At 39.8% G+C, this 26,479-nt stretch overlaps 1 protein-coding gene across 4 annotated transcripts in view; it reads left to right on the top strand.

Annotated features, from left to right (window-relative positions):
- The window catches only part of EPHA4 (EPH receptor A4), a 156,176-nt gene that overhangs the window by 106,389 nt on the left and 23,308 nt on the right, over positions 1 to 26,479 (top strand). For all 4 annotated transcript variants that reach the window (NM_001304536.2, NM_001304537.2, NM_004438.5 and 1 more), the window contains 6 exons: positions 9,824 to 9,948; positions 11,042 to 11,201; positions 12,156 to 12,267; positions 21,633 to 21,691; positions 24,208 to 24,321; positions 24,800 to 24,985. In NM_001304536.2, coding sequence (NP_001291465.1) covers positions 9,824 to 9,948; positions 11,042 to 11,201; positions 12,156 to 12,267; positions 21,633 to 21,691; positions 24,208 to 24,321; positions 24,800 to 24,985 — 756 coding nt within the window. The remainder of the gene's footprint in view (positions 1 to 9,823; positions 9,949 to 11,041; positions 11,202 to 12,155; positions 12,268 to 21,632; positions 21,692 to 24,207; positions 24,322 to 24,799; positions 24,986 to 26,479) is intronic.

Raw genomic sequence — 26,479 nt, 5'->3', positions numbered from 1 at the left:
CAAATTTCTTAGTAAGCAAGTAGAAAGTAAAACAAGCAGCTCCCAGACGAAACACAGGACACACTTGAACTGCAGCAAAGACACTTGGGTGCCCCTGAGGTTAGTTCCCTGCTAATTCTGGTGGACATGGGCCTTGGTTTCCAGTTGAGCTGTTACCCACTTATAATTTTATAACCGATCCTATGACTGTACCTGTAATAATGCTAATTCAAGATACTAGCTAACTTGTAAAACAGACATTAAAGTAATGCATTTTATTTACTACAAAGAGTAAGGATTGCTGTATGTTTCAGTATAATGATTAAAAAGTTGCAAAAGCTCTAATTTGCAAAACCTTACATCTTTCATGACATCTTTAGGGCTTAACCCAGGAGGTATACTAAATATTGTGTTTGGATCTTTCTAGTAATAAGTATGATACTTCCTTTTTAATACTCCTAACATTTGTGTTTGTTTTATAACCTTTTTATTGTGAAATATACACGTATGGAAAAGTGGGCAAGATTCGAATGTATAGTCATTGAATTATAGCAAAGTAAACACCTATGTGACCGTCACCCAGGCCAAGGAACAGAACAATAGAACATTGCCAGTCTTCCAGAGGCTTGTCTTGTATCCTTACCCCTTCTCTAATTCCAAAGACTAATTATTTTATTTGGTAATTGAATTTGTTTTGTTTTATTCTTGTCTTAGCTCTTTAGATTAGTTCAAATGTGAGTTCATTCTGCACCAAAAGTTTTAAGGTTTGTCTGTGAGCAGGGATCATATCGAACTTACCCCTGGGTTTCTGACAGCCGACAATGTACACAGATACCCCTGTACCTAACAGAGCAGACTTTAGAAAGATTTACGTTGTTGCTGCTGCCGCTACTGCTGTGGGAAAACAGTCACTTAAACCTTCAAGTCTCCTATTTCTTACCATGGAAAGGAGGGGCAGAGATCAGCCGCTTTCTGTAGATCAGTGGTTGAGAATGAGGGCTCTAGGACCAGATTTTTGAATTATGACCACATATAAGCTATAACTTGGAGCAAGTTATTCAAACTCTCTGTACCTTATCTTCTTGATCTATAAAAATGAGGATAATAATAGTACCTGTCTCATAGAGTTTTTGTGAGGTTTACATGAATTAAGTCCTGCAAGAGATTTAGAACAATGCTCAGCACATCATAATTACTCAATAAATGCTAGTTTCGTGTGTATGTTGTTACAGACATGTGGCATAGAGGGAGGATCACATACTTTTGAGCCAGGTGGACTTGAGTTTTAAATCTCATTTTATGGCTTTGGTCAAATTATTTAATTTCTTTGTACCTGAGTTTCCAAGTCTGAAATGTAAGGGTGATCATTATAACTACTTCAGAGAGTTATAGGGATGAAATGATGTCAGGTGTGCGTGTATGTGCAAGTGCCTTGCCCAGGAGTTTACTGGCATCTGATTTGCTCCTTTCCCCATTCTTTGTTTTGTGGCAATTCACAGGGCCTCAGTTTTCATCTGCTTAAGCAGTTAATAATTCAGTGAAAACTAAATTAACTCTTTTCTACAAAGAAAACTCAACCAAACCATTTTGAGAACCCCAATGTGTTTTCCCATTTAGCATTAGCATAAGATCAGCTGAATCTTTTGGCTCAGTGTTTTGCGATTCTGCCGATTTCATTCACTGTTAGAAGACTAGTGGCCGTGATTGTGGCCGTGATTTTGTCCGTGGGAAGCCACGCGGCCTCTGTCACTGGCTTTGCTGACCTCAGGGCAGCGCATTCCAGTTTCTCACAAATGGGTGGATATCTGCTCATCGTGCATGACCAGCTGGAGTTTCCGGGAGGGAACCCAAAGGCCTTTCAGGAAGCTGCAAAACCACAGACCAATCTTCTGTGGGCCACAGTACTTCTACAGTTTATCTGAGTTAGTTGTGATATGCAAATACCTCTTTTTTGCCAGAAGGCTCCACTTCACTTGAATGAGTACCTGTTTTAACCCCAAATGCCAGTTCAATGGGTTATTGCAATAGAAATTTATTTTCTTGCTGAAATCGCATCCAGTTGGTGGTGATGGGGGTTGTTGGGTGTGGGGCTTCCAAGATGGGCCTGGGTCATTAACCTCCCTCTGGCTTGTGGGTTCAAGAAAATGGAGAGTCACAGGGAGCTATTTATGGGCCAGATCTAGAAGAGGGGAAATCACTTCAACCCACATTCCATTACCCAAAACTCAGTCACATGAACTACCGTAGATACAAAGGAATCTAGGAAGGTAGTCTTTGGCTGGGCAGCTCTATCTAGAAGGGAAGGGATCTCACAGTTTTGGATGCCTTAGCCAAAGAGGCCAACCCAACACCTTCAACTTCCCTATGCAAACAATTAACGTGAAGGCTAAGAATAGCATCACATTCTATCATTTAAAATTTAACCAATAGCTCTCTGTAAAGGATTTGTTGAAAATAATCCGTTGCCCATCTCTCTGGCATAAAGAAAATGACGTGCCCTCCCATCTATCTGGGAAATAAAAAAGGCTTATAAAATTTTCGTCTTCTATTAAACCAAAAGTAAAAACCAAATCACAGACTTTGCAAAGTCTTACTCTGGAATCATTTAGTTCAAGTATTTATAGTGTTCCAAAATCAGACTCTTAAAATCATTGGCAGCATGAGTCAATTGTATCCTTCAGTAAATATTGCTGAAGGATAATGTGGCTGTGCACTGCTTTATTTTATAGTATGTGTTTAAAATAGACTCTGGTCTGACCTTGGAAATCACTTTATGGAAAAAAAAAATGCATCTCTCATACATTCTAAATTTAAGCTTAATAAATATGAATACTTACATATCTAAATATAAATGAACTTCATTTAATTCACAGTCTTCTGAAGATTTTGGCTGAGAATTTGGTTCTATGTTTTTGTGTCAAATAAGGAGAAAAATCAATGTCAATTTCAGAATAATCAAGTTGTTTTTCTGTACCTTTTGCCGGTTTGTTTTAAAAAGTTTCACTTTTTGACTATGAGAAACTGTGCTTGTGTGGATGCATGATGTAGCAACTAAAAGCTGTTGGGGGTGGAGCTGACTTTTTACTTTGATGATGAGTCCAGCGAGGGTGGTTGGGGATTTTAATGATTTTACCTAAAAGATGGCAGAGGAGTTGACCTGGCTGGTCGAATGTACCGCAAACAAAATCATGTGTATGTGAAAGCACTTTATAAACTCTTGTACTATAAAATACTGTAATGATGATAGTAAGAAAAAGGACGTATAAATATTGCTAAGTGATGTTTGATGCCATAGGTATTGCCTAGCTTGAGAGGAGGAATCCTTCTCTCCATCTGGAATGTAGAAGAAAACAATTAATATTAGCACCAGAGCTCTTAGCATCTCAGAGACGCGAAACCCTTAATCACAAGGATATCATTAGTGCTCTGAAGCATTTAATTCTGATGCTTGACAGCATTTTAAAATGCACAAACCTTTGATAAGAAGCAAATCAGAGCTGGGGTATTGAATTGAGAAAGAAATGGGAACAAAAACCACCTTAAGCTCCAAGTAATTAAATTTAAATATGCTATTTGCATTAAGCAGAGATATGTATAAATGGTGGGTTTATATTTTTCTATCAATGAAAGACCCCTTGAGTAAATATCATCTGTTTAAATCCAGATCCTGGGGAGGGGAAAGGTAACCCTGCTGTGGTTAAGAAGCCATCTCTCCTGCAAACACTGGCCATTGTGTACCACTGACATCCATGGCTTCAGGTGTCTTGACTTTCATAAAGGGCTGTTTTCACTCCTCCTTGCCCACAGGCTGGAGACCTTTCATTGCATCTGTTTATTTCCTAGCTCACCTCCTCCACCCTCTAATTTGAACCAGTAATGAAATGCAGTCAGCCTACTTCAGCTGTTTTCTTTTTCCTCCAAAGTTCCCCCCAAACTGTTTTTAATTCACTGCTTGTGATACTGGACTCAAGAAAACAATTTTCTAGCTCAGGAACCATGTGAAGCTTTCCTCTCTTTCTTTTCTCCGTATCTCCTCTTCTCTTCTCCATCCCATTTGGGTGTCACAAGGACCAAACTGCTGCAGTAAAATGACTTGTAGGTGTTTAATGGCAAGTCATTGAGGAAGTGAATAAAAGAAAATTGCAGCATTCACGTCAGTGGGGAGCAAGGAGAACTGCTGAGCTTTGAACCAAAGAAAGTTAAATTTACCATTTTCTTAAAGGGAGCCACCTCTGTTTGACATCAAAGCATCTCCTGTAATTTCTCCTTGTGAAATGCACCACTGTTAGAGAGTCATGATAGAGCCCCCTAATCTGTGCTGTTTCTGTTTATCAAAAACACACACAGAGAGAAAACCCACATGTACCTTCTCAGTGCATTGTGGTCTGCTCTCAAACCAAATGTAACCACAGGTACATAGCAAATGGGGATTCTATTTCGAAAGCATTCTCAGTTTCTCAGGGATTTGTAGAACTGGGAATACAACATTCTTTGGGAGTGAAATTTATCTTGGACCTCTATTGGAAAGCTCAGATCATTCAACTGGAAAGCTTTGGTGAATTTTTTCCTTTCCTCCTCTTTTGGTTTTTGCTTCATCGTTTTTTAAAAATGGTATTTTGCTACAATTTCACTTGTGTCCATTTGGTATGTGGAAAAACAGAGTCTGTTCCTAATAATGCTGCTCGCCCACACTATGACTGCAAAGGGCTCTCCACCCTATTACCCCCATGTTTCAAGTTTATGTCCATTGGTGGCTGTTGCATATGTAGTAACTAATGGCTTCTGCTGGCAGTGACTGGCTTTGCCCTAGTCCATCTTTGGAGGCTTAGGATCCTTTCTGGATTTATCATTATGACTTGGGAGTCTCACCATCACTCCACCTTGGCAGTTAAGAAGTCAGGAGAACTATTTGCATATGCCCTACAGATACAGAGGAGAAATGCAGAGCAAATTGTCAACACCTTCATCAGCCTAAAGAGCAGAAGCTCAAAATGCTGTCTGTAACAGGTGCAGTGATGCCTAGTTTTAATGTTAACTTACATTTGAATGACATTTTACAGCCTGTGTTTGAAAAATGTTCAGAAGCATCACACAGACCTTAGAAACAGAGACTCCATTTATAATTAGAGTTGTCATTTGCTTCACCCCAATTGTCAATATCTCAGTTAACCTAAATAGTAAAACCAACCCCACAAAAGGTCCTTTGAAACAGGTGCAGATGGAAAGTTGTTTTAAGGATGGCTTACTTCTGGTACTTTATGTTTAGAAAATGTTTGATATCTACAGTAAAGATTTTTTAGATAAATTTTAATATGTAAAAACTTTTATTCATTTGACATAATTATTGAGCACCACTGAATGCATGTGTCACCATGATTTGTAGGTTAAAAAGAAGAAGAAATGAGAGACAAGTTTTGGGTTAAAAACTGCTGAAATCTCCTTAGGGGTAATAAAAAATGATGGTCTCGGGGATAGGCACCTTAGACCAGGAAAATTGACATCTATGAGTCATTGGAGATTTTGCTGTAAAGGTTTGAAAATTAAGGACTCCATTGAATTAAATCACACATCTTTTTTAAAGAGCTACCCTTTAGGAGTGCTTGCCTTATGATTTTTACATAGTCATCTTTCTTTAACCATGCTACTGTCAACTAGCATGACCAGCTCTCATTGCTATGTGTCATGTCTGAATTCTAGCCATTAAAGAATGCCTGCATTTGTCTGGAGGCACAAAACTGTCCTTAAAACAAGTATCTCCTCTATGAAAGAAGTCCGTGGGTAGATAGGAATGCTTTTCAATCTATGATGCATCTCTTTCTTGTAGTAAGAATGTAAAAAAAAAAAAAAAAGAATGTGTTCATCAGCCCCCCAGCTTCTTCCTGGCTTTGCTTCTGACACTCAGCAGGTGTATTGAGTGTCTACAGATAGAATGTGTGAGAAAGTGCCCTCTACTTACTCCTCCCCATCACCCATGAGAGAACTTGAATTAGAAGAGGGGCAGTAGGAATCGTCTCCTCTTAAATTCTAGAAAAATGGGCCCTCTGACTTGACATTAGAAAGTGTTTTTTCTTTAAGACTACTATAAAAATTTCCCAATAGTTCTTTTAGTTAAGAAGAGGCTAAAGTATTTGGTGGTACTTAGTCTGATACCAACAATTATTTTCTATCTGGCCATGCTTACCCATTCCCCCTCTCGGCCTTGTTCCATAGGTGCTCATTAAGTATGTGTCTAGTGGCCGAGTTGATGTTGAGGAAGAACCTTGTCTCTATGAGATTTCAGAATGTAAATCAAAGAACTGAGCAGCCACTGAGAATCTTTTTTTCCACTTGGTCTTTTTATGCTGACCAAATTTTCTACTATGATTAGAAACTCTCTTTTGAACTTAGGCATTGATTGGTCAGAGCTCTTATTGAACCATATATTTAAGGGTGGGATGTACAATCTTTTTAAAAAAATTCTATTATCTCCTCTTCTAATTCTGTAAGCAAAAGGCAGAGCCCTGGAATATTGCAAATCAGGATTCAAGACATTTGGGTTAGGCATTGTTTACCAAAGTGTGGAAACATACCAATGGTGGCATCAGAGATGATTTTAGGGAACACACCGATGAGATATTATGTAATATTGAATTGCCCTGTGTACAGTATAGTTCATTTTCAATTCTTTCTCAGTAATTCTGAGTACTCCAAGGTCAGAATCTCAAGCGGGTGCCCATATATCCTTTGTTTCTCTAGCACTGGCTAATCTCCATTTTTAACAATCCTTGGAGAAGTAAGAGTGTCCAGCAAACATTGATAACATTGTTTTATTTACATGCAATGTTCATTTAATTTCAAGTAATTATAGGGTTTCATTGATACCAGTAAATGGGAAATTTCTTTCAAATACAACTGTTGAAGTTAAAGATACTGCATTTATTAAAGAAAATATTACTTAAATCATCTTACAAGCTGCAGAGGGATGTGGCAGCAAATGTGTGGCATGGAAGTCTGATGCTTGGGAAACACTGCGGTAGGGGGAAAATTGCAAAATGTCATTGGCAAATGCCTCATCTAGGGAAATGACCCATAGGCAGGCACACACAGTAGGGTGATGCCTTCTAGATGTAAAGTTGAAGGCTGTTTTGGAAATGGGGTAGAAAGGGTGAGGGAAAAGCCCATATGTGGCTTATGATGTGGAGAACATCCAGGTTGCCTCCTTTCCAAAGTGGCAGTATGGCAAAGCCCAGATTTTCTCAAACTCCTTCTTACTAGAGAAGGTAAGCTCTCCACATACAATGCAGTTGTATGTTTTAGGTACATTTCCCAACCTCACTTGGTCATGGATTGCTTGTGTCATTGTGCCCTGATAACATGCTCTTCTGAAGAACATCTGATCAATAAAGAATTTAGACTTTGCAGCCATACAACACAATACTTTTTGTGAATTAGATCTATGTATTCTACTTTTCCTTGGTTGAATTGATCTCTCCAGTAGGTATGAAAGACAAATGTCAACTCAGCAGTTTTCTGACTGTCCTCAGCCTAGCATTCTATTTTCATTTAATCCTTCGTTCTTGCTTGCATTTCTCTTTCAGTCTCTCCTTATTCTCCATTTTTATGACAGCTGTGTCAAGGTACACTCTGTTGGTTTATTTTCACATTTATGCATATCAGCTTCCCAAGTAGGGCTGCATTAGAAATACTCTATGAGTTAACGTGATTATATTGCTAACTCCCTGCTTGAGATTTTTTGAGCACCTTAGTTGAGTTCATATTCCCTTTAAATGGTCACAGGAACACAGCTACTCAAACTTCTAAAATAGAAATCAAGCTCATTTCCCATATGCAGCAGTTTAATGATAACCCAACCAGAGAGAAGCTGTCTTAGTTCATCAGTGCACTCCAAGGGCAGGCAGGCAATTCTTTCTCAAGGAATCTGTCGATTATCAGGATCTGACCAAGACCATTTCCGAGAGAAAGTTCATTTTATAATTTTATGATTTTTCTCCCTCCTGCTTTCTTTCTAATGACCTCACTTTTCTGTTTCATTTCTCAATCCTGAACATCAGAATTTAAAGAGCTCCTTTTTATGGAGTGTATGCTAAGTGGTCTGTTAGGCAATATATTTATTACCTGGAGTGAAATGACTTTCCACAGCCAGGCAGTTTTCTTAGCCTCCTTGCTACCTCTATATTTTACAAAGTCACTTTTTGCATTTTGTTGGACAATGGCTTTGTGTCAACCAGGAAAGAAAGAGTAAATGTGAGTGTGTGTGTATGTGTGTGTGTGCCTGTGTGTGTGTTGGGAGAAGGGGGCCTTAATGAATGTAATGAGCACATTTCCGTTTTTCATTTTCCTCAGATGTTCAGTGGCTTCCATATGTCTGCCGCATGCAGCTTTGTTCACTGGGGTTGGTATTACTAACCTTGGGATTGCCTTTGATGGAGGACATGTGTATCTACTGTATCTTTCCCTTGTGTTTTTGCCTGAGATCCAATCTGGAATAGCTTTGGGACTGAGAGAGAGGAAAAAAAAATAGAGGGGTGTGTGTGTGTGTGTGTGTGCGCCTGTTACCATCCCTAACAGAGATGCTGGGCTGTCAAATAACCCCCTCCAGGAGACAGTCTCTACCGTACTGGATTTAGCTGGAAGACTCCCTTGTGTGACTATGGTGTGTCTGCTTGGCTTCCCTGCCATCAGTATACTCGTCAGACATGGTCAAGCAGGTTTGAAGCTTTTCCCATACCATTTTCAGTGACAATGTATTTCACTTTTTATCTTTGTTCCTTGGAGTTAGGGGTTGGCATTCATACGCATGTATTGCAAAAGGGCAGGAGGATGACCCAGCACTAATTTATCCTTCCTCAGTGGCCAGTTTTTGACATTTGTTTCCCCAGTTTGGGAATAAAAGAATATATACATTGGAGTTAGGAAGCTCCCTAATCTCTGGTTCTCCAGGGCAGCTTTGTTAGATAAGATTAAGGATTTCATGAATGCTTTCTCTTCTCCCTGGAGATTGTGCATGGGTACCAGCCATTGTCAGTGTCAGCAGAGCCTGATAACAGCTGGCTGGAGATGCGACCACTGCAGCGGAGAAGTGAGCATCGGGCAGCCTGGGTGTATAAATCTAAAGTGTGCCCTCCTTCCACCCCCATAACACACCCACTAGAGGGCTGCCTTTGTGTCCTTCGCAGTGGAAAGAGCAGGCAAAGGCAACATGTCAGCTCTTGTAAAATAGCTGCAAAATGCCACGCATGTTCAGAGAGACCAGCACTGCTTGATTTGTATTCACTATTTACATGGTTGTGTTCAGACTGAACTCTTACTGTGATTAAGCAGTACTTTTATTTATATTGGAAAGTATGTAAATTGTTTCCCTTTTGGCATTCCCTACAGTACTTATTGAAGACTTGTACATTCTCTTGCTTGCATGAAATTAAAGTCCAGTAAGATGGCACTCATAATACTGGGAGGTAGGATTAGATGTAGCTTTACTGAGCTTAAAATGAGGTCTTCCAAAGGCTGTTATGGCTTACAAAAGGTTAAAAACCAGACAGCCTTCTCTGTACCTACAGCCTTTTATGAGAAATGTCTCTACGTGCTGTGGAAATGGTACTACAGGCCTGTGAGCCCACTAGGCTTTTACTTCAGAGATTCTCTTTTTAAGACAAACACATGCAAAAATATACTGGAGAGAAGGATGAAAATGATATGCTTCTATACTGAAGAGTAAAATGGTCAAGGGGGAGACAAGACAATCTTTCACACTTTTCTTAAATAAGATGAAATTATTTCTGGCTACCACCAAAACCATTTATTTTCCTAAAGAAAATATCTTTTGTCTTTTGTTTTTTTCTAACAGCACCATCATCCATTGCTTTGGTCCAGGCTAAAGAAGTCACAAGATACAGTGTGGCACTGGCTTGGCTGGAACCAGATCGGCCCAATGGGGTAATCCTGGAATATGAAGTCAAGTATTATGAGAAGGTATTACTTGAGTGAACAACACTCCTTTCCTTTCTTCCTTCCTTCCTTCCTTCTTTGTTTTCTTCTTTCCTTTCTCCTTCCCTCCCTCCCTCCCTCTCTTCTTTTCTTCCTTCTTTCCTCGACTCCTTCCCATCCTCCTTTGCTCCCTCCCTTCTGTTTAAGGGTTAGCCAGTTGTAAGTCATGGAATACCAGTGAATCCTCAAATCAAATGCATTTTGCTTCCCAATTAAGTATGATTATGAAATTTATCATTTACTTAGTTATCCTGAAAAGTAGAAAATAACAATAATGATAATACATTGTATTGTAATATAACTATATCTTTACTTTCTAGTAATGGAAATCAAGATAGCTAAGAAGTTCTAATCTATGAACCTTCTATCAGGGAGAGTGACTCATAACAGTTGAAATAATGATCTGTTTAAGTAGATCACTGCTATTCAGAATAAAGATGTGGGTTTTGATGACTTTTAATAGAAAGTCAGGGAAGGAAAATCACATTCTTCAGCCTCTTAAAGTTATAGAAAGGCATTATTTTTACAAATAACTTGTCTCTCTTACAGGACAGAATTTTGAAGAGAGCTATTTGCATTCAAGGTTGTCTAGAAAATGAACAGTTGTCTTCTTTTTCTTTTTAAAGATAATCACTTATTGGCTTCCTTATTAAAAGTAGAAAAGGGACAGGATTTTCCCATTGAAACCATGTTACAACACATTTTACATTTTCTAGACAGAAAATAGAAAAAGATAAGGGACCTTCTCACAGTTATTTCTTTTAAATTGCTGGGTGTGGAACTAGAAAAGCCACCAACCATCATTTAATGTTCCTTTCAAAAAAAAAGAGTAGGAGGAAAGATCTGGATATGGTCAGCGTCAATAACAATCATACCTGAATTTGCATTTCTTTCAACAAGTAAGAAGTAACAATAGTACTTATAACATCCAAGAGAATACAGGCTCCAGAGAGTTTATTCATCTCCATTTACTTTCAGTTTCTGAGTTGACTGGCTTGACTCCTTTAATATTGCACCTAGTAAGTAAGCAGGAGATTTATTTTGCCACCTTCCCCAATTTTATCTTGCCATGATGTAGGATCAGAATGAGCGAAGCTATCGTATAGTTCGGACAGCTGCCAGGAACACAGATATCAAAGGCCTGAACCCTCTCACTTCCTATGTTTTCCACGTGCGAGCCAGGACAGCAGCTGGCTATGGAGACTTCAGTGAGCCCTTGGAGGTTACAACCAACACAGGTAACAAGGACCACCCAGACTCAGTCACTTCTGAGGCTATTTTTATAATACAGCTGAATCCCATTACAGTGAAATCTAAGGAGTTGTCTGTAATTTTTGGTTCAGCAGACATTTTGCTGCAATGAATATGTCTTGAAATAAGTTAGCCAATGTCTGTAACTTAGAAAACTTCATGTGATTTAGAGAAAAGCATTTTCGAAATACTGATTTGTCTTTTCCTATGAATGAAAAATGTTGCCTATTTTTCTCTTGTTTTGAGCCTTCTAGAAAGCATGAAAAATGGGATTACTAAACTGACAAATTGAGGGTTACATAGCTACCCTACATTAATATAGGGAATTTTCTCCCTGAGAAGATTAAAGAAGGCGCCAAAAATATTTTTTACCTACTTATTTTTAAGAATCATTTAAATCAAGTTACATAAGCTTTTTTTTTTTTTTAAAGACCCTTTGGACAAACATATCAAATCTTTAAGCATTGCGAGTTGGATTGACTGGTTGACTAAATTTAAAGTGCTTAAGAGGGGTCTACCCATGAACAAGCATTAGTGTCAGATACCTCCATCCCGGTAATCAATGAACCCAAATTGGGCATGTTTGATAAAAAGATGATAGATTTTTGACTTCAAGAAAGAAATTTTGTTCACAAATTATTAAATAAGAATAAAAGGAAAAGCAGAAGAGAAAGTAGAGTTGAATCTGAAGGGGATTGACATCCTTTGAAATTATCCAGCAAGGGTACAAGGAGGAAGTGGCTTTTGAACTAGGCAAAAATAGGCAGGTTTTTGATAGCTCTCGGGGAAGGAGGTACATTCAAAACTGCTGCCCTTTCTGAAATGTTCAAGTGTCTTTCTCTCTCCAAGTGGCTTCAGAACACTGAAAACTGTGACCCATTCAGAAGTTCTACCTCCTAAGACTTTCCCAAAGGTGACCCTTATGCAATTGTCATTCCCAGTGCCTTCCCGGATCATTGGAGATGGGGCTAACTCCACAGTCCTTCTGGTCTCTGTCTCGGGCAGTGTGGTGCTGGTGGTAATTCTCATTGCAGCTTTTGTCATCAGCCGGAGGTAAGCACTGAAGCCACTCACTGTGCAGCCCCCGACCTTCCCAGTGTTTATGATGGTTTTTTTCTCTTCCACACAAAGCTAAGGCTTTTGATTGCGTCATAAACTTGGCATCTGCATCCCAAGTTTCCTCCTTGTTGCTTTGATCTTCCCACACCCCTACCAAAGCTGCTAGCTGTACCCTGGTGGCAGGCTGAGAGGTCCGGAAGGACCCAGCTAATTGTAGGAAACAAAGCTGAAGAGCAAGCCAGTGGGAGATTTCTAGATGCTTTAAGCTGCCAGGTGTTACGTTTATCCCTCTCTTAAGCCTGGACTCACTGCCAAAGGCAAGAAAAAGCCCTATAAAACTTGGGCCCCAATTTTGAGCTCTGCCATTTGCCAGCTACTACTACATAAACCTTTTTGAGTCTTTATTTCTATTCTGTAAAATAGAGATAATTATTATCTGCCTCAAAGGGTTATTGACAGGAGAATTTTGATACACAAAATAGATAATACAGCACACAGGAGGTGCTTCAGCATGATTTTGGTTAACAGTAATGGTCACTAAAGCAAAGAAATGGGTACTTCACACTCAGTCTTCCCCCAGGAAAAGCCATCAGCATTTCCAGACAATCAAGGGATTTCTAGAGATTATCCCTTGAGCAAATCTCGGGCATGGCATTGTCTTGGAAATGAACCTGAAACATCTGAGCCCTTATCCTCTAAGTACTTACAATCTGACTTGATACTTAAAAAATAACCTAAAAAGGAGAGAGAAATAACAACAGATTGGCAGCATCTTCTTTTGAACCAGTTTTTCTTACTGTTTTTGTCTCCATTTACTCACTCCCATCGTCTGCCCAGAGGCTCCAGAGGAGTAGTCATTGATATGTGCCCCACATCTGGGCCTTCTTTGTCTTTGATGTGTAAGAATCTGCCTCTTCCCTGATCGGCATCCCCATATACCATCAACTGTTTCACAAGATGGGGCTGTTGGTGAAAAAAAGGGCTAAGCCTGGGGATGTCAAAAGGATCCTCTTAAATGTAAAGCTTTTCATTCTCTAGAAGAGGGAAGTAGTCCTAGGAAAGAAGTAATTCTTGCCCAAGTTTGTCGCATTGCCATAGTGGTAGGCTGAGCTGCTTCTGGCCCCACCAGTAGCTGTGCTTGGCCCTCAGGCCAGTGTCTGTTGCATTGTCCCTCTCTGCCTACTGATGATCTCACCAATGTCATAGCAATGCCTTTGGCTATTTCCACTGGCCTGGGCAAGCCACTATGCTTTTACTTTCCTCTGATATACATTATAATTAGAGTGGTGACCATATAATCTAGTTTGCCTGGATGGTCCCAGTTGGTACATGTATTTATTTAATTTATTAATTTTTTTCTGAGACGGAGTCTTGCTCTGTCGCCCAGGCTGGAAGTACAGTGGCATGATCTCGGGTCACTACAACGTCTGCCTCCTGGGTTCAAGCAATTCTCCTGTCTCACCCTCCTGAGTAGCTGGGATTACAGGCACACGCCACCACACCTGGCAGCTAATTTTTGTATTTTTAGTAGAGACACGGTTTCACCATGTTGGCCAGGCTGGTCTCAAACTCCTGACCTCAAGTGATCCGCCTGCCTCGGCCTCCCAAAGTGCTGGGATTACAGGCATGAGCCACCATGTCCGGCCATGTATTTCTTAATATCATGCTCCCATCCTCACTCTCTAAAGTGTCCTGGTATACAGGGACCAATTATGTTCACTCTAACATAACACAGTATAGAAAAACACGTTCTGTACAGGCATCTGTTTTACACCGTGTTCATTGCTTTTCATGCACAATCTATGAATAGGTATGTTTGATTAGAGTGATGAGTCAAATCTTGAGATGTTAAATCCACAATAAATTCTCATTTCTGTTTCTTTAATACACACACATACAAAAACATATAGACATTGGCATGCCCTCTATATTCTAAACAGCAGAATATCTCAACCTTTGGAAACTTAAGGTTGACCTGCATAGATTTTGAATTCCCACTGTTCTTTCCTTCCCTGGTATTTGATTTTGAAAGCCAATCAAGATGGCCCTCTTTCTTGTACATTGCCATTTAGTTTTGTATATGTACGCATGCTGTGCATATAACCACCGGGAACTGTAATATCCATCTGATGGTGGGAAGCAAGGAGCATGTGGGGGAGTGTATAGGAATTATATGTGCTTTTTTGATTTTATAATTACATATTTCTATGTCTGAAATGTTCACAGTATACAGAAATAATCTTGGTTGTTAGAAAATAAAGATGTTTAAAGGTTTAAAAACAGATACAATTCATGAAATACCTCCACCTCTAAAAATATTTGATAAAAATTCAGCACCCTAGGATGCTCAGAGCACTTCTCTGCAGAAAGTAGGCCTTGCCTTGTGTCTTGACCATCTCTTTGACTTGACTGGAAACATTCTCTAGTTGTAGTCCAGCTTTGCTTTAGATTTACTTTGCTTTTTTGTTTTTTGGTATAAGTGGCCCTAAATACAGCAGTCAAACTGGAGTAATGAGAAATAAGTTACCTCATTGTAAGTTTCCTTTGGATGTTCTGCTTAAAACATTGGCTTTGATGAAAAGAAAGGAAAAACACATGAAAATGTAATGCGGGGAGACAAGTTTATTAAAAGCCGTGACTACGGAAAATAGCATCCTTAAGCTTGATGACTTAATTTCCTCTCTGCTTTTATTGATCACTTTATTATATAAGGCAGGATTGATAGCAGGATGCATCGGATTTCCAATTATGAGTCCCCACCTTAGAGAATTGAGCCTGTCGAGTTACCTAGCGATGATTCCTGTCCCTTCTCCCCCATTAAAAAAAAAATGTCACTTCCCAAGGCTGATAAACAGTGCTTGGTGATTGGTCCTCAATGGATCACTTTTTAGAAAATGAAATGTCAACCCCTTGCCCTCATATTGATTCTTCTTTAGTGTCGGCCGTAAAGCTGTCATGGGAAAGGCCGCCCGGAGCCAGGTAGCTGACAGGCTTGCAGCGGCTCATGCACACTCAGCCAATTCTTCTCCTCACGCAGGTTGTCTGCTCTGTTATCTTGGACTATAAATGTTTAAATGGGACAAGAACAGGTGAACAGAGAGGAGACAGGTAGTGGGGATGAAAGCCTGGCTGGCCCAGGCTTTTCGTGAGAGGACAAATGAAAGGTGGTACATGGTACTGGCGAAATAATCTTGCCAGACTTCAGCCAGTAGTATGAGAAAGCAACAGATTAAACACCCTAGCCTATGAAATCTGAGTCATGTCCTTTGACGATGGGGCTGCTTTGTGCTTCTTAGAATCACTAAATGTTTATGCTGGAATGGATGCTACAGATAGATCCCTTATGGGGGTCCCCTTGAACTGACTCCCACTCTGCTGATGGCATGCAAGATTCCTAAGGAAGTCAATGGACAGAAACTCACGTAGTGAGAAAGTTTCAGTCCTTCTGATGACCTCAGAGAGAAAATTGTCTTGGTGCTAATTTGTCATTTAAGAAAGAGGAAGCAGCCTCAGGCTCACAGTTGGTATCTTGCTAGATTTTTTTTATAGCAATTGTTTCATTTATTTCATTGTACACATGCAGCTTATAGGGAGAAGCCTGAGCCTAAGGCAAGCCAGAATAATCTACACTTTTTTCAGCGAGATCTACTTTTTTCTTTTGGCCAAATGGAACATGTAAGCATTTAGGGATCGCGGTGAAAGAATCAAACTACTAAATTTATAAAATACCTAAAATGAGATGTTATACTAGGCACATTGATTTAGCTATATTGTATATTTTTACCACCCACATTTATGTTAAGCAACTTAATTTTATATTTTCTGTAGGCATCTTTGATCTGTGTCTTTCTCATCACTCAAGATATAATTTCAGAATTCTTTCAGCTTTCCAGAGCACATAATTGTACTTGTTATCTAGGTTAGTTTAAGGCAGAACACTTCTTGTACCTATATGATGCTGTCCCTATAAATTTTATTTCAAACCACAAACAAATCTCTATTTGTACATTCTCTCCAGCAAATCAACATTTCCACATGTATATATTTATATATTTGTGATCTCCACAACATAACCACTTTTCTATATTGTTTTTTTAAAATGATCTTTAAAAGGACTGTTCACAGTGACATCCTAAAATACAATTATAAGGTCATAACCTCCAAGACTAATGACTGAATCTATGCTAATTTTCTCTGACACCCTCTTCCCTTTTATAGTAATGATTTCATCAGGTTATCTCCAAAAGCATCACAAACTAGTATTAATTCAGATTATTTTAGGGCAGTGTTTTTTCCAAAACAGTATTACCGTATTGATTGATTGATTGAGACAGAGTCTCACTCTGTTGCCCAGGCTGGCATGCAATAACTCAGTCTCAGCTCACTGAGACCTCCGCCTCATGGGTTCAAGTGATTCTCATGCCTCAGCCTCACAAGTAGCTGGGATTACAGGCATGTACTACCACACCCAGCTAATTTTTGTATGTGTAGTAGAGACAGGGTTTCACCATGTTGGCCAGGCTGGTCTCAAACCCCTGACCTCAAGTGAACTGCCCACCTCGGCCTCCCAGAGTGCTGGGATTACAGGCGTGAGCTACCACACCCGGCCCCAAAACAGTATTTTATTATTCAAATGTGAAAAACAATTTTAAGAAAAGTCTAGAATACAAGAATAGCCCCTATTTCTTAAAGGATAACTTGGTAGTGAGGGAAAGTATTACTGATAACCAGGCACATGCTGTTTTTATACGAACCTTCTAATGATTGCTAGTGACAGTGGGTTTCCATTTATGTTAGGGTTATAAAGTACCCCTTTTACCTGGATAAGGAAAAAGAAGTGAATTGATTTTAAGAAAAAAATGAAGTGGTTATGGCAAAATTTATATATATATATTAGGTACTGGAGGCCTAAAGAGATTAAACAAATAAACGAAGGTCACATGGTGAGTTAGTTGCTGATCAGGACAGGAATTCAGCTCTCCTGACTTCCAATACTGGGATAGATATATTATTTTAATATCTTCTTAACTGACAAAGTTGACCTACATAAAAAAGCTGACATTGGCAGTTCTATGGAACCAAAGCTTCAAGACTCTGCTAGTGATGTTGGTAAGATTTGTAATCTGTGAATTAATATGCAAATCTGTTGCACAATATAAAGTCAGAGTTTGCAAGTTAATTTTCTCCTCCTATTGAAGGTTAAGATATTCCACTTTGGAGCTAAGAGTTCACACAATGCTGAAACAGTTATGGTTCAGCCTGTGCTACCACACCTGGTTAATTTTTGTATTTTTAATAGAGATGGGGTTTCACCATGTTGGCCAGGCTGGTCGCGAACCCCTGACCTCAGGTGGTCCGCCTGGGCCCTAATTTCCTTCCCTGGAATATTACAATCATGTGAAAATGAAAACACTTAAATGTTAGCCTAATTCAGCTCTGATGAAGTCATGTAAATTCACACAAGTGGGGGCAGATGATACCTCGGGAACATTTCTAAACAACTTGCGTGCAACCATTTCAACATGCTACTCATGAACACCATTTAGACATCATTCGGTGCAAGAATAATGACAGCTTAAAGAAGGAGAAAAAGAATGGCTGCTGTGAATCTTCATGGGTGATGCCGTTCAGTGCTGGAAAGGGACCTCCTGGAGCCATGCTAGTTACGTTGCTTTATTTTTAATATGCACTTTAGCTGAATAAATTACTTACCTTTTACTAATTAGTTTTGGAACAGTGAACCACATCAATCAAATCTGTCCACTTGACCAGAAAAGTTAGTAATTTAGTAAAAGCATGGTTTATGCTGGGCCCCTGCCTTGCTCCCCGTCTCTATTTTGTTTGTTATATTGAATAGTCAAGGTGCCAGGAACAGCACGTTGGTTGAGAGGGCTCACGCTGTTCTGCAACAATGTCTGCTAATACCCTTATTACCATGTCCCTTGGACTGCAGGAGGGCTTAGTTCACACTCTTTCAAAGTTTCACCTGCAATGTGGGCTCTTTTCTCCAACTCCTGCGGCTGAAAGGGTCCATGTTTCCTTCTGGAGCATTCACTAACAAAACACTCCACTCCTTCCCAGTTTTAATCAGCTTGTCCACATCTCTGTAATTAGAAAACCTTCAACAAAGTTTTCCTTCTGTCATTCAAGTGATCAGCCTGAGATGTCAGTTTTGAGTTAGGACTTCTTCAGGCAGTGTGGCTTCCTGCAGGCTGGCTGCCCCAGTGGTGAACTTCAATGGGCTTTCTTTCCTGGGATGATAATGGGCCACACTGTCCTACACTGAGCCAAGGCAAAAGGGCCATCAGGTGTTAAAGGTAGAACAGGACACAGGCATTTTTGTTTTCCAGGTATTTCTAAAAAGCAAACAGACTACTATTAGCCTTTCAACAGTAATCCTTGTGGTTTTTTTTCAGCCATTTCCTGCAGTCTTAAGGGTCCTCTCCTCCAAATAACACTCCACGTAAAAAAATCTCATTTAAAAACACACCTTCACCACTAATTTAATTCCTCCTTCTATGTTTAGAAGTCTGAGGAAGGGATGGGCGTGTCAACCTTATAATTAATGACCCCTGTCATTTTGTATTTCCTCTGGCTTTGCACATATTTAATGAATGTGCTTGATGTAAAACAGATAAACGCTTTCCCGGGCAGCTTCAGGCCATGGGTTTCTATGGTATATTCCAGGTTTTTGTTTCATTGACAATTTTAAGTTGGTACCAAAGCTTTCTCACTCTATGCATTTGTTTTTCCTTCTTCAAAGGAAAGAAATTCAAATCAGTGTTCGAGATCTTAAGTGGTTTAAAAGAGATACTTGTAATTTTAGATAATGCTTTTAGGAGCTCTGATAAGACACAATGTTTCAGGCTGGCAGGACCCTATCACTCCCTTGGGACCAATCGATGGCATTTTCCTGACATAAAATGTTATTTTAGTAGTCCCTGACCTAACACTCTTATATTCCTTTAAAAGAAGGGAAAGGACGGGGGTGGAGGGAGAGGAAGAAGATTGGAGGAGACTTCATCTTTTATAGAAAGTTGTTTGGCTTCAGGGTATTTAAACCTGTTTAGTTACTTCAATGAAGCAATGGATTTTAAGAGCAATTGAATTCACTTTAAGTGAATGTACTGATATAAAACGTAATACTACTTATAATTAACTCTCACCAGGTATCCTTATGTAACTAATCTCCAGTAAGAGAGGCTCTATGAAGTCGTGGGCTGGATCAGGGCTTTCACAAAGTCCTGTACTTGCTAGGAGAGCACGTGGTGATCCTCTTGCTCCCCACCCCCCACCCCACCCCAGCTCCATGTCCTCATCTACAGGGAATCTGAGCATGTGTGTCTGCCTGGTTGCTTTCAAAGGGTTGTCATGAAGATGCAATTAAATAATAGATTCTGGCTGGGTGCGGTGGTTCATGCCTATAATCCCAGCACTTTGGGAGGCCTATGTGGGCGGATTACTTGAGGTCAAGAGTTTGAGACCAGCTTGGCCAACATGGTGAAACCCTGGCTCTACTAAAAATACAAAATTAGCCGAGCATGGGTGGCGGGTGCCTATAATCCCAGCTACTCAGGAGGCTGAGGCAGGAGGATCGCTTGAGCCCTAGAGGTGGAGGTTGCAGTGAGCTGAGATCATAGCACTGCACTCCGGCCTGAGCAACAGAGTGACACTCTGTCTCAAAAAATAATAAATTAAATAAATAAATAAATAAATAAAAATAGACCCTTTGAAAAGTTAAATGCAAAGGAAAATGCAAGCTTATGATTTGGGACTGAAATACTGTACTTCACAGTTAGCTGTAGTCATTGGGGTCTCTGTTTTGCTAAGTTGGTTCCTGCTTTGCAAACAGTTAGGGAAGGAGATAATATATGAGATGAGAGCACTTTGAAAAGTTAAATGCAGTGTAAAAGTGCAAGGTTTTATTATTTGCCAGGGAATTATCCCCACGGAGAAACATCTGTAGGCTCTGAGGGTCTGATTGCTGAGCTGGTTCTTGCGCTGCTGACAATTAGGAGAGGAATGTGGGAGGGAAGGTTGGAGCATGTGACCGGGATCCGCTGCCTCTCTGGTTGCACTGCCTGGCTCCTTTAGGTTCTCTGTTATTCTCTCTTTTTCGTAATCATCTGCCTTTCTACCTGTTCAAAGTTTAAGAGTTCAGGGTATAGGATTTTGACAGGACCACACTGCCAAGACACCTGGCTTTGCGGGAATTTTTACTTATCTCAGACCGTGTTTCTTTTTCTGTAAGAGTCTTGCCTTACCTTGTCTTTGAAGCTCTAAGAAAACATAGAATGTAAATTCCAGTGTAAATTGTACCTTTCTGACAGAAACATAAATGTATACATTTTATTTACTAATTTGGTCTCAACTTCCCAAGCTTTAGACAGCTGTGATATCAACGGAGTTGACTTTCTGATTCCTTTAAGTGATATATATTCTCCTGACTCACTATGTATATATATTCAAGATTTTTGATTTGCAAGGCTTGAGTTGATTTTCCAGTTTGTATAAGAGAGATATATACATTTCTGATTGAATATTTATGTGTACTGAAGATTTCTAATCCACAAAGCTTTATAACAAAGCCAAATTTAGGCTATTAAAAGTTGTAGGAGCAGAATGCCAGGTTTAAGACAATGCACCATTTTACTGAAAGTGAATTAGGCAAAGCAAAACAAAGCTCATTTTTACCCTTGCTCATTTTTTTACAAATTAGGGAACATAATTCAGTACAAAGCAAATACTTACTTTTAAACATTTTGTTAATAAGTTGGGAATTTGTATGCAGCAACTGAAACCAGTGACCGCAAAAGTATTGTTTCAAGAGTATCATGTAATATGATAATGAAGTTTTGTGGTAGTAGTTATCTGGTTATAGCAATAATATTTACTATTACCTATCACATACTGAACATTACTGCCATTTGATTTACACAGAATTACTCATGGAAATTTAATTTAGAATGTATATATACATATACACACATGTACATATATATACACATGTATATTTATATAAATGGAAAAATAGCCAATAAACTTATCTTCAATAAGATAAATTTTCTCTGAGAGATTTTAAATTATAATTATATTATAAAATATTTGCTTTAACCTATTGTAAGACACCTCAGTTTAAAATTGTGGTTCAGAGGTGTCTGTGACTGCTTGAGCTTAAAACCATGACTCACTACCCAGGTGACAAGTATTTCATCTCTTGTAAGTCTCAGTTTTCTCATCTCTGAAATGTACATAGCATACCTGCCTGACTTACAGTAGCAAAGAATTTGTCTTATGGCATGTGTTAAAGCTTAGGTGTTTGAGGAAAATAATTCTCTTTTTTAAAAAAATTTTAATAGACGGAGTAAATACAGTAAAGCCAAACAAGAAGCGGATGAAGAGAAACATTTGAATCAAGGTACAAAAAATTGGATTAAAAAATTCTATTTTTAGAGCATGTCACACGTTTTCTAGTTTAAACATGTTCAAATAATATTTACGTGGCTATTAATGTTATATAATATAATATATTTATTCCTTATCCCAATAATGTACTTCCTAGGTATCAAACTGAAATGGGTGATTTGGATGGTGAGATTAAAGATGTGGGATGAGGTAGAGAAGTTTCTTTAGATTTTTACTTTTTCTTATTTTATCCTCTACCCTAAGAAAGTTATCAGTCTAGCTGGCTCATTGTTGTAGCTGGGTGGCAAAATTAAATGGGTATTTTTTTTAATCTAAGCTGGAAATTTGAGGAGGAGGAAAAGAATAAGAAATGTAACAGTAATTGCTACTTCCCAGGGAATGGCTATATGTGATATAGAATTAGTGACTGTCAATAAATTTTTAGTGGATTCTAATTTTGATGTTCCAAAGAGGTCAAAGAAGACATTAAAAGTGGCTCTAGAGTGACTTAAGCAAGGTAGAAGACTTTTTTTTTTTTTTTTTTTTCTGACGGAGTCTTGCTCTGTCGGCCAGGCTGGAGTGCACTGGCATGATCTTGGCTCACTGCAAGCTCCGCCTCCCTGGTTCACACCATTCTCCCACCTCAGCCTCCTGAGTAGCTGGGATTACAGGCACCCGCCACGACCCCCGGCTAATTTTTTTGTACTTTTAGTAGAGATGGGATTTCACCGTGTTAGCCAGGATGGTCTCCATCTCCTGACCTCGTGATCCGCCCGCCTCGGCCTCCCAAAGCGCTGGGATTACAGGTGTGAGCCACCGCACCCAGCCAGTAGAAGACTTTTAAATGGACAGTGGTTGGTGACTATCCAGGAGAGCTGTCCACTAGAACTTTCTGAGATAACATTGTTCTATATCTGCACTGTCCAAAATGTAAGCCAATAGCCACACAAGCTATTGAATACTTGAAATGTAGCTAATATGACTGAGAAAGTGATTTTTAAATTTAACTTATTTATATTTAGATAGCCTCATGTAACAAGTCACTCACATATTAGTGCAGAAAGATAGAAGAAAGATTGGCCGGGCACAGTGGCTTATGCCTGTAATCCTAGCACTTTGGGAGGCCAAGGAGGGCAGATCACTTGAGATCTGGAGTTCGAGACCAGCCTAGCCAACATGGCAAAACTCCGTCTCTACAAAAAATAACTAAATTAGCCAGGCATGATAATGCACGCCTGTAATCCCAGATACTCAGGAGGCTGAGGCACGAGAATTGCTTGAACCCAGGAGGCGGAGGTTGCAGTGAACCAAGATCCTACCACTGTACTCCAGCCTGAGCGACACAGCCAGACTCTGTCTCCAGAAAAAAAAAAAAAAAAAAAAAAAAAAAAGATAGAAAAAAAGAGAGGGACTGGGAATAACAAGACTCATCTTGAAGATTTTCTTGGCTATAGCATATAAAGTGATGAGGGATATGAAGTGTCTAACAACTTTCCATTTATTCACCTCGTTTCCTCCTAAAATCATGTTTTTTAAATTTTTACATGGAATATATGTTTTTTTAAAAAGCTGATCTATTAAAAAGAAGTAGCAAGAAATTGCCAATTTAAGGAGCTTATTCCTAACCAATGGTGCTGGGATGAGGACAAGACCTACAGGCTTGGAAAGTCGAAGGGACTGGGCCAACTGGTGTCCTTCATACCCTCTGTGCCCCAGTGCCCCAACAGCTCCAGGAGGGAGAGGTGCAAGTGCCAGGACAAAGCTTTTTACAATGACTTCTGCCTCTTGGCCCAGATATCTGTCACTGGGCTGCCGGCAAACACATCTAAATTTAGTTTATGGGTAGTATGAGATATGGCTGAATCATACTTCCTGATGTCTAGGCTACAATGCTTATCTCCAGCTGAAACTTTCTGGCAAACTTGAATATCTTAGCTTATGACACCTTCTTTCCAAACCAGAAAAGAAGTGAGGTCCACTACAGAGTCTGTATTCTCAAATCAACTAGCTGATATTAACCTTATTGTCTACTTTAACTTAGGTTTAATCTAATTTTGTTAATTGTTGGTCACATATTTAATTCATCCAGATATTGGGCAAAATGTGACACCATGTGGAAAGAGCTGTTTGAAATTAAAATGCTTCTATTTCCTTCCCTAAGGGAGGATAACTGAAAGTAGTGGGTAGGACTTCATGCAAAGGCAAGGGAGCTATGAGCAACTGCTTGGGACAATAGTATTTAGCTAACACAATTCAAATTTCCTCCATGGGATGGGTTGTTTTAAAAATCTTGTCCTTGAAGTGTGAAGACATTCCAGGAAGTCAGTAAAGCTGCAGCCTCTTAAGTAGCTAACAATATTTTGTTTACCCACTAATGAAAACCAGAGCAAGAATTTAACCATTTTCATATGTCAAGACCGTACAGCTAACTTGACTTTTCCTATGTTTGGTAATTTTAGACCCAGACTATTTATGTTTATTAGTGGTTCCTTAGAAGTATTCAGCCAACTTATCATGTTTATCACTCAGGTGTAAGAACATATGTGGACCCCTTTACGTACGAAGATCCCAACCAAGCAGTGCGAGAGTTTGCCAAAGAAATTGACGCATCCTGCATTAAGATTGAAAAAGTTATAGGAGTTGGTAAGTGTCTGAGTGTCCGTCTGCTAATGAGTCTGTTTTCTTGGTGGATGTTAAATATGTGTGTGGATTACATAAATGCTTTTGTGAGTATATTATATGTGTGTATATACATGAAATTTCCTTTTTTGAGTATAAAATATCATGTGTTATAAAGAACTCTAGTACAAATTTTGATTTTATTCTTAGAGAGAAACTTAATGCAATCTGAAATCAGATTGATTGCATTCAAAAGATTTACTCTGTTTCTTACTAACTAAGATTTTGTGTAGGTTTTTTGCATTAAGCCTTAGTTTTCTCTAATAAAATGGGGCTAATAGTAGCATCTACTTCAGGGTTGCATGGAGGATTTTGTGAAATAATCTATGCAAAGCACTAGCAAACAGCCTGGCGTGTAACAAGCACTCAAGGAATGTTAGCTGTTATTCTTTCATCTTGAATGTGTTTCTGGTCCATCGTAGATTCTTTTTCTCTCTCAAAGGTGAATTTGGTGAGGTATGCAGTGGGCGTCTCAAAGTGCCTGGCAAGAGAGAGATCTGTGTGGCTATCAAGACTCTGAAAGCTGGTTATACAGACAAACAGAGGAGAGACTTCCTGAGTGAGGCCAGCATCATGGGACAGTTTGACCATCCGAACATCATTCACTTGGAAGGCGTGGTCACTAAATGTACGTGGGTCACCCCCTTTACAAAGCCAAGCTAGAAGTTACTGGGAAATTAAACACACATTTTCTTTCCAGGGAAATGACAGATGGCGCAGACCCACTGATTGCTAATAGGAGGAAATCAGTGCAGGACAAGTCATTAATCTTGTAGTCAGCTCTAAATGGGTCTTTGGTTTTGGCTGGATACCCTATCTCCAAGGCAGCTTGTGTGAGATTTTAGAGAAATTAATATTGCAGATTTGTGGTATGCCATGCCATCCTTCAGATATTTGCTAGGCCAAACTGATTGTCATAGGGTGGGCTCAAGCAGATGGTAAGCAAAATAAAATTTAAGTACTTTTCCTATAAAGCACAACAAAACCTGGCCACACCTTGTGCTGGAATCTTTGGTTCCAGATGCAGAGAGTGAAGCTTGGGAATCTTGAATATATTGCGGGATTTGCTTGTCTGCTCTGCCTGATTTATGGCTGTTGCAGTTCAGCACCTATTTACAGTAACACCTGGTTGAACTTTCCTTTTTTAGTCCATTAGCATTCGCTGAGCCTATGAACCACGCTTCAGTTAAAATGCGACACAGCTCAACAGATGCATTTTGTGAAGCAAATCCTGAGTAAATCTGTAAGGCTGGCTAAGACCAACTTATAAAGTGCCACATAGACAGCACAGCTGAGGCAGTCCCTGTTTAAGGTGGCTGTGTTCCAAGAGCCCTCATACACACTACAGTTACTACAAGTCAAGGATCTCATAAGCCTGGGGCTGTGTCCCCTGGAAAGCCAAGGCTTTTCTTCTTTGATTCAAGGTGTCTGTGGAAAGCATCTTCAGTCAGCGTGTGCAGAGTAATGGCAATATAGCCACCCCAGTGTGGGGGAGCAGTCGGAGGAGGGTAGGTTAAAGAGAAAAACTGATGCTGGGTGTAATCACTCATACCTGTAGTCTTAGCTACTTAGGAGGCTGAGGCAGGAGGATCACTTGAGCCCAGGAGTTTGAGGCTGCAGTTGAGATGGGTAAGTTTCCTGGACCCCTCGTGGGACTTGTAATGGGGTGTGACTTGTTTTGCTTGGCCACCGAGCTCAAACTTCTTGTAGGAGGGGGAGCACACAGTTTAGCACCTGCAGGAGCCTGGGCGAGTGGTTGCCAGTGACCTCTGGAGCCCCAGGTGTATGTTACAAATAATGCTCTTTTAGCAGTTGTCATCCACGGATGGCTAAGTGTTAACCAGCTCAGTGGAGAGTCGGGGTGACAGCCTTTTTCACCCTCCCGTCTTGGTACCTGGGTTCCTGTCTGGTGTCCAGGAAGAATCAGGTCACATGGACTTGAAGGATGGTGAATGTGTAGGTTTTATTGGGTGATGGAGGTGGCTCTCAGCGGGATGGGGAGCTGGAAAGGGGAAGGAATAGGAAGATAATCTTCCCCTGGAGTTTGACTATTCCTAAGGTAATGCCCACGGTTTCCAGTGTTGAAGGTGGGGCCTTTGCAGGGAACCACCCTCTTCTACCC

The sequence above is a fragment of the Homo sapiens genome, chromosome 2 (assembly GCF_000001405.40).
Source record: "Homo sapiens chromosome 2, GRCh38.p14 Primary Assembly".
Classification (NCBI taxonomy): domain Eukaryota; kingdom Metazoa; phylum Chordata; class Mammalia; order Primates; family Hominidae; genus Homo; species Homo sapiens.
This window is presented reverse-complemented; position numbering and strand designations above follow the sequence as displayed.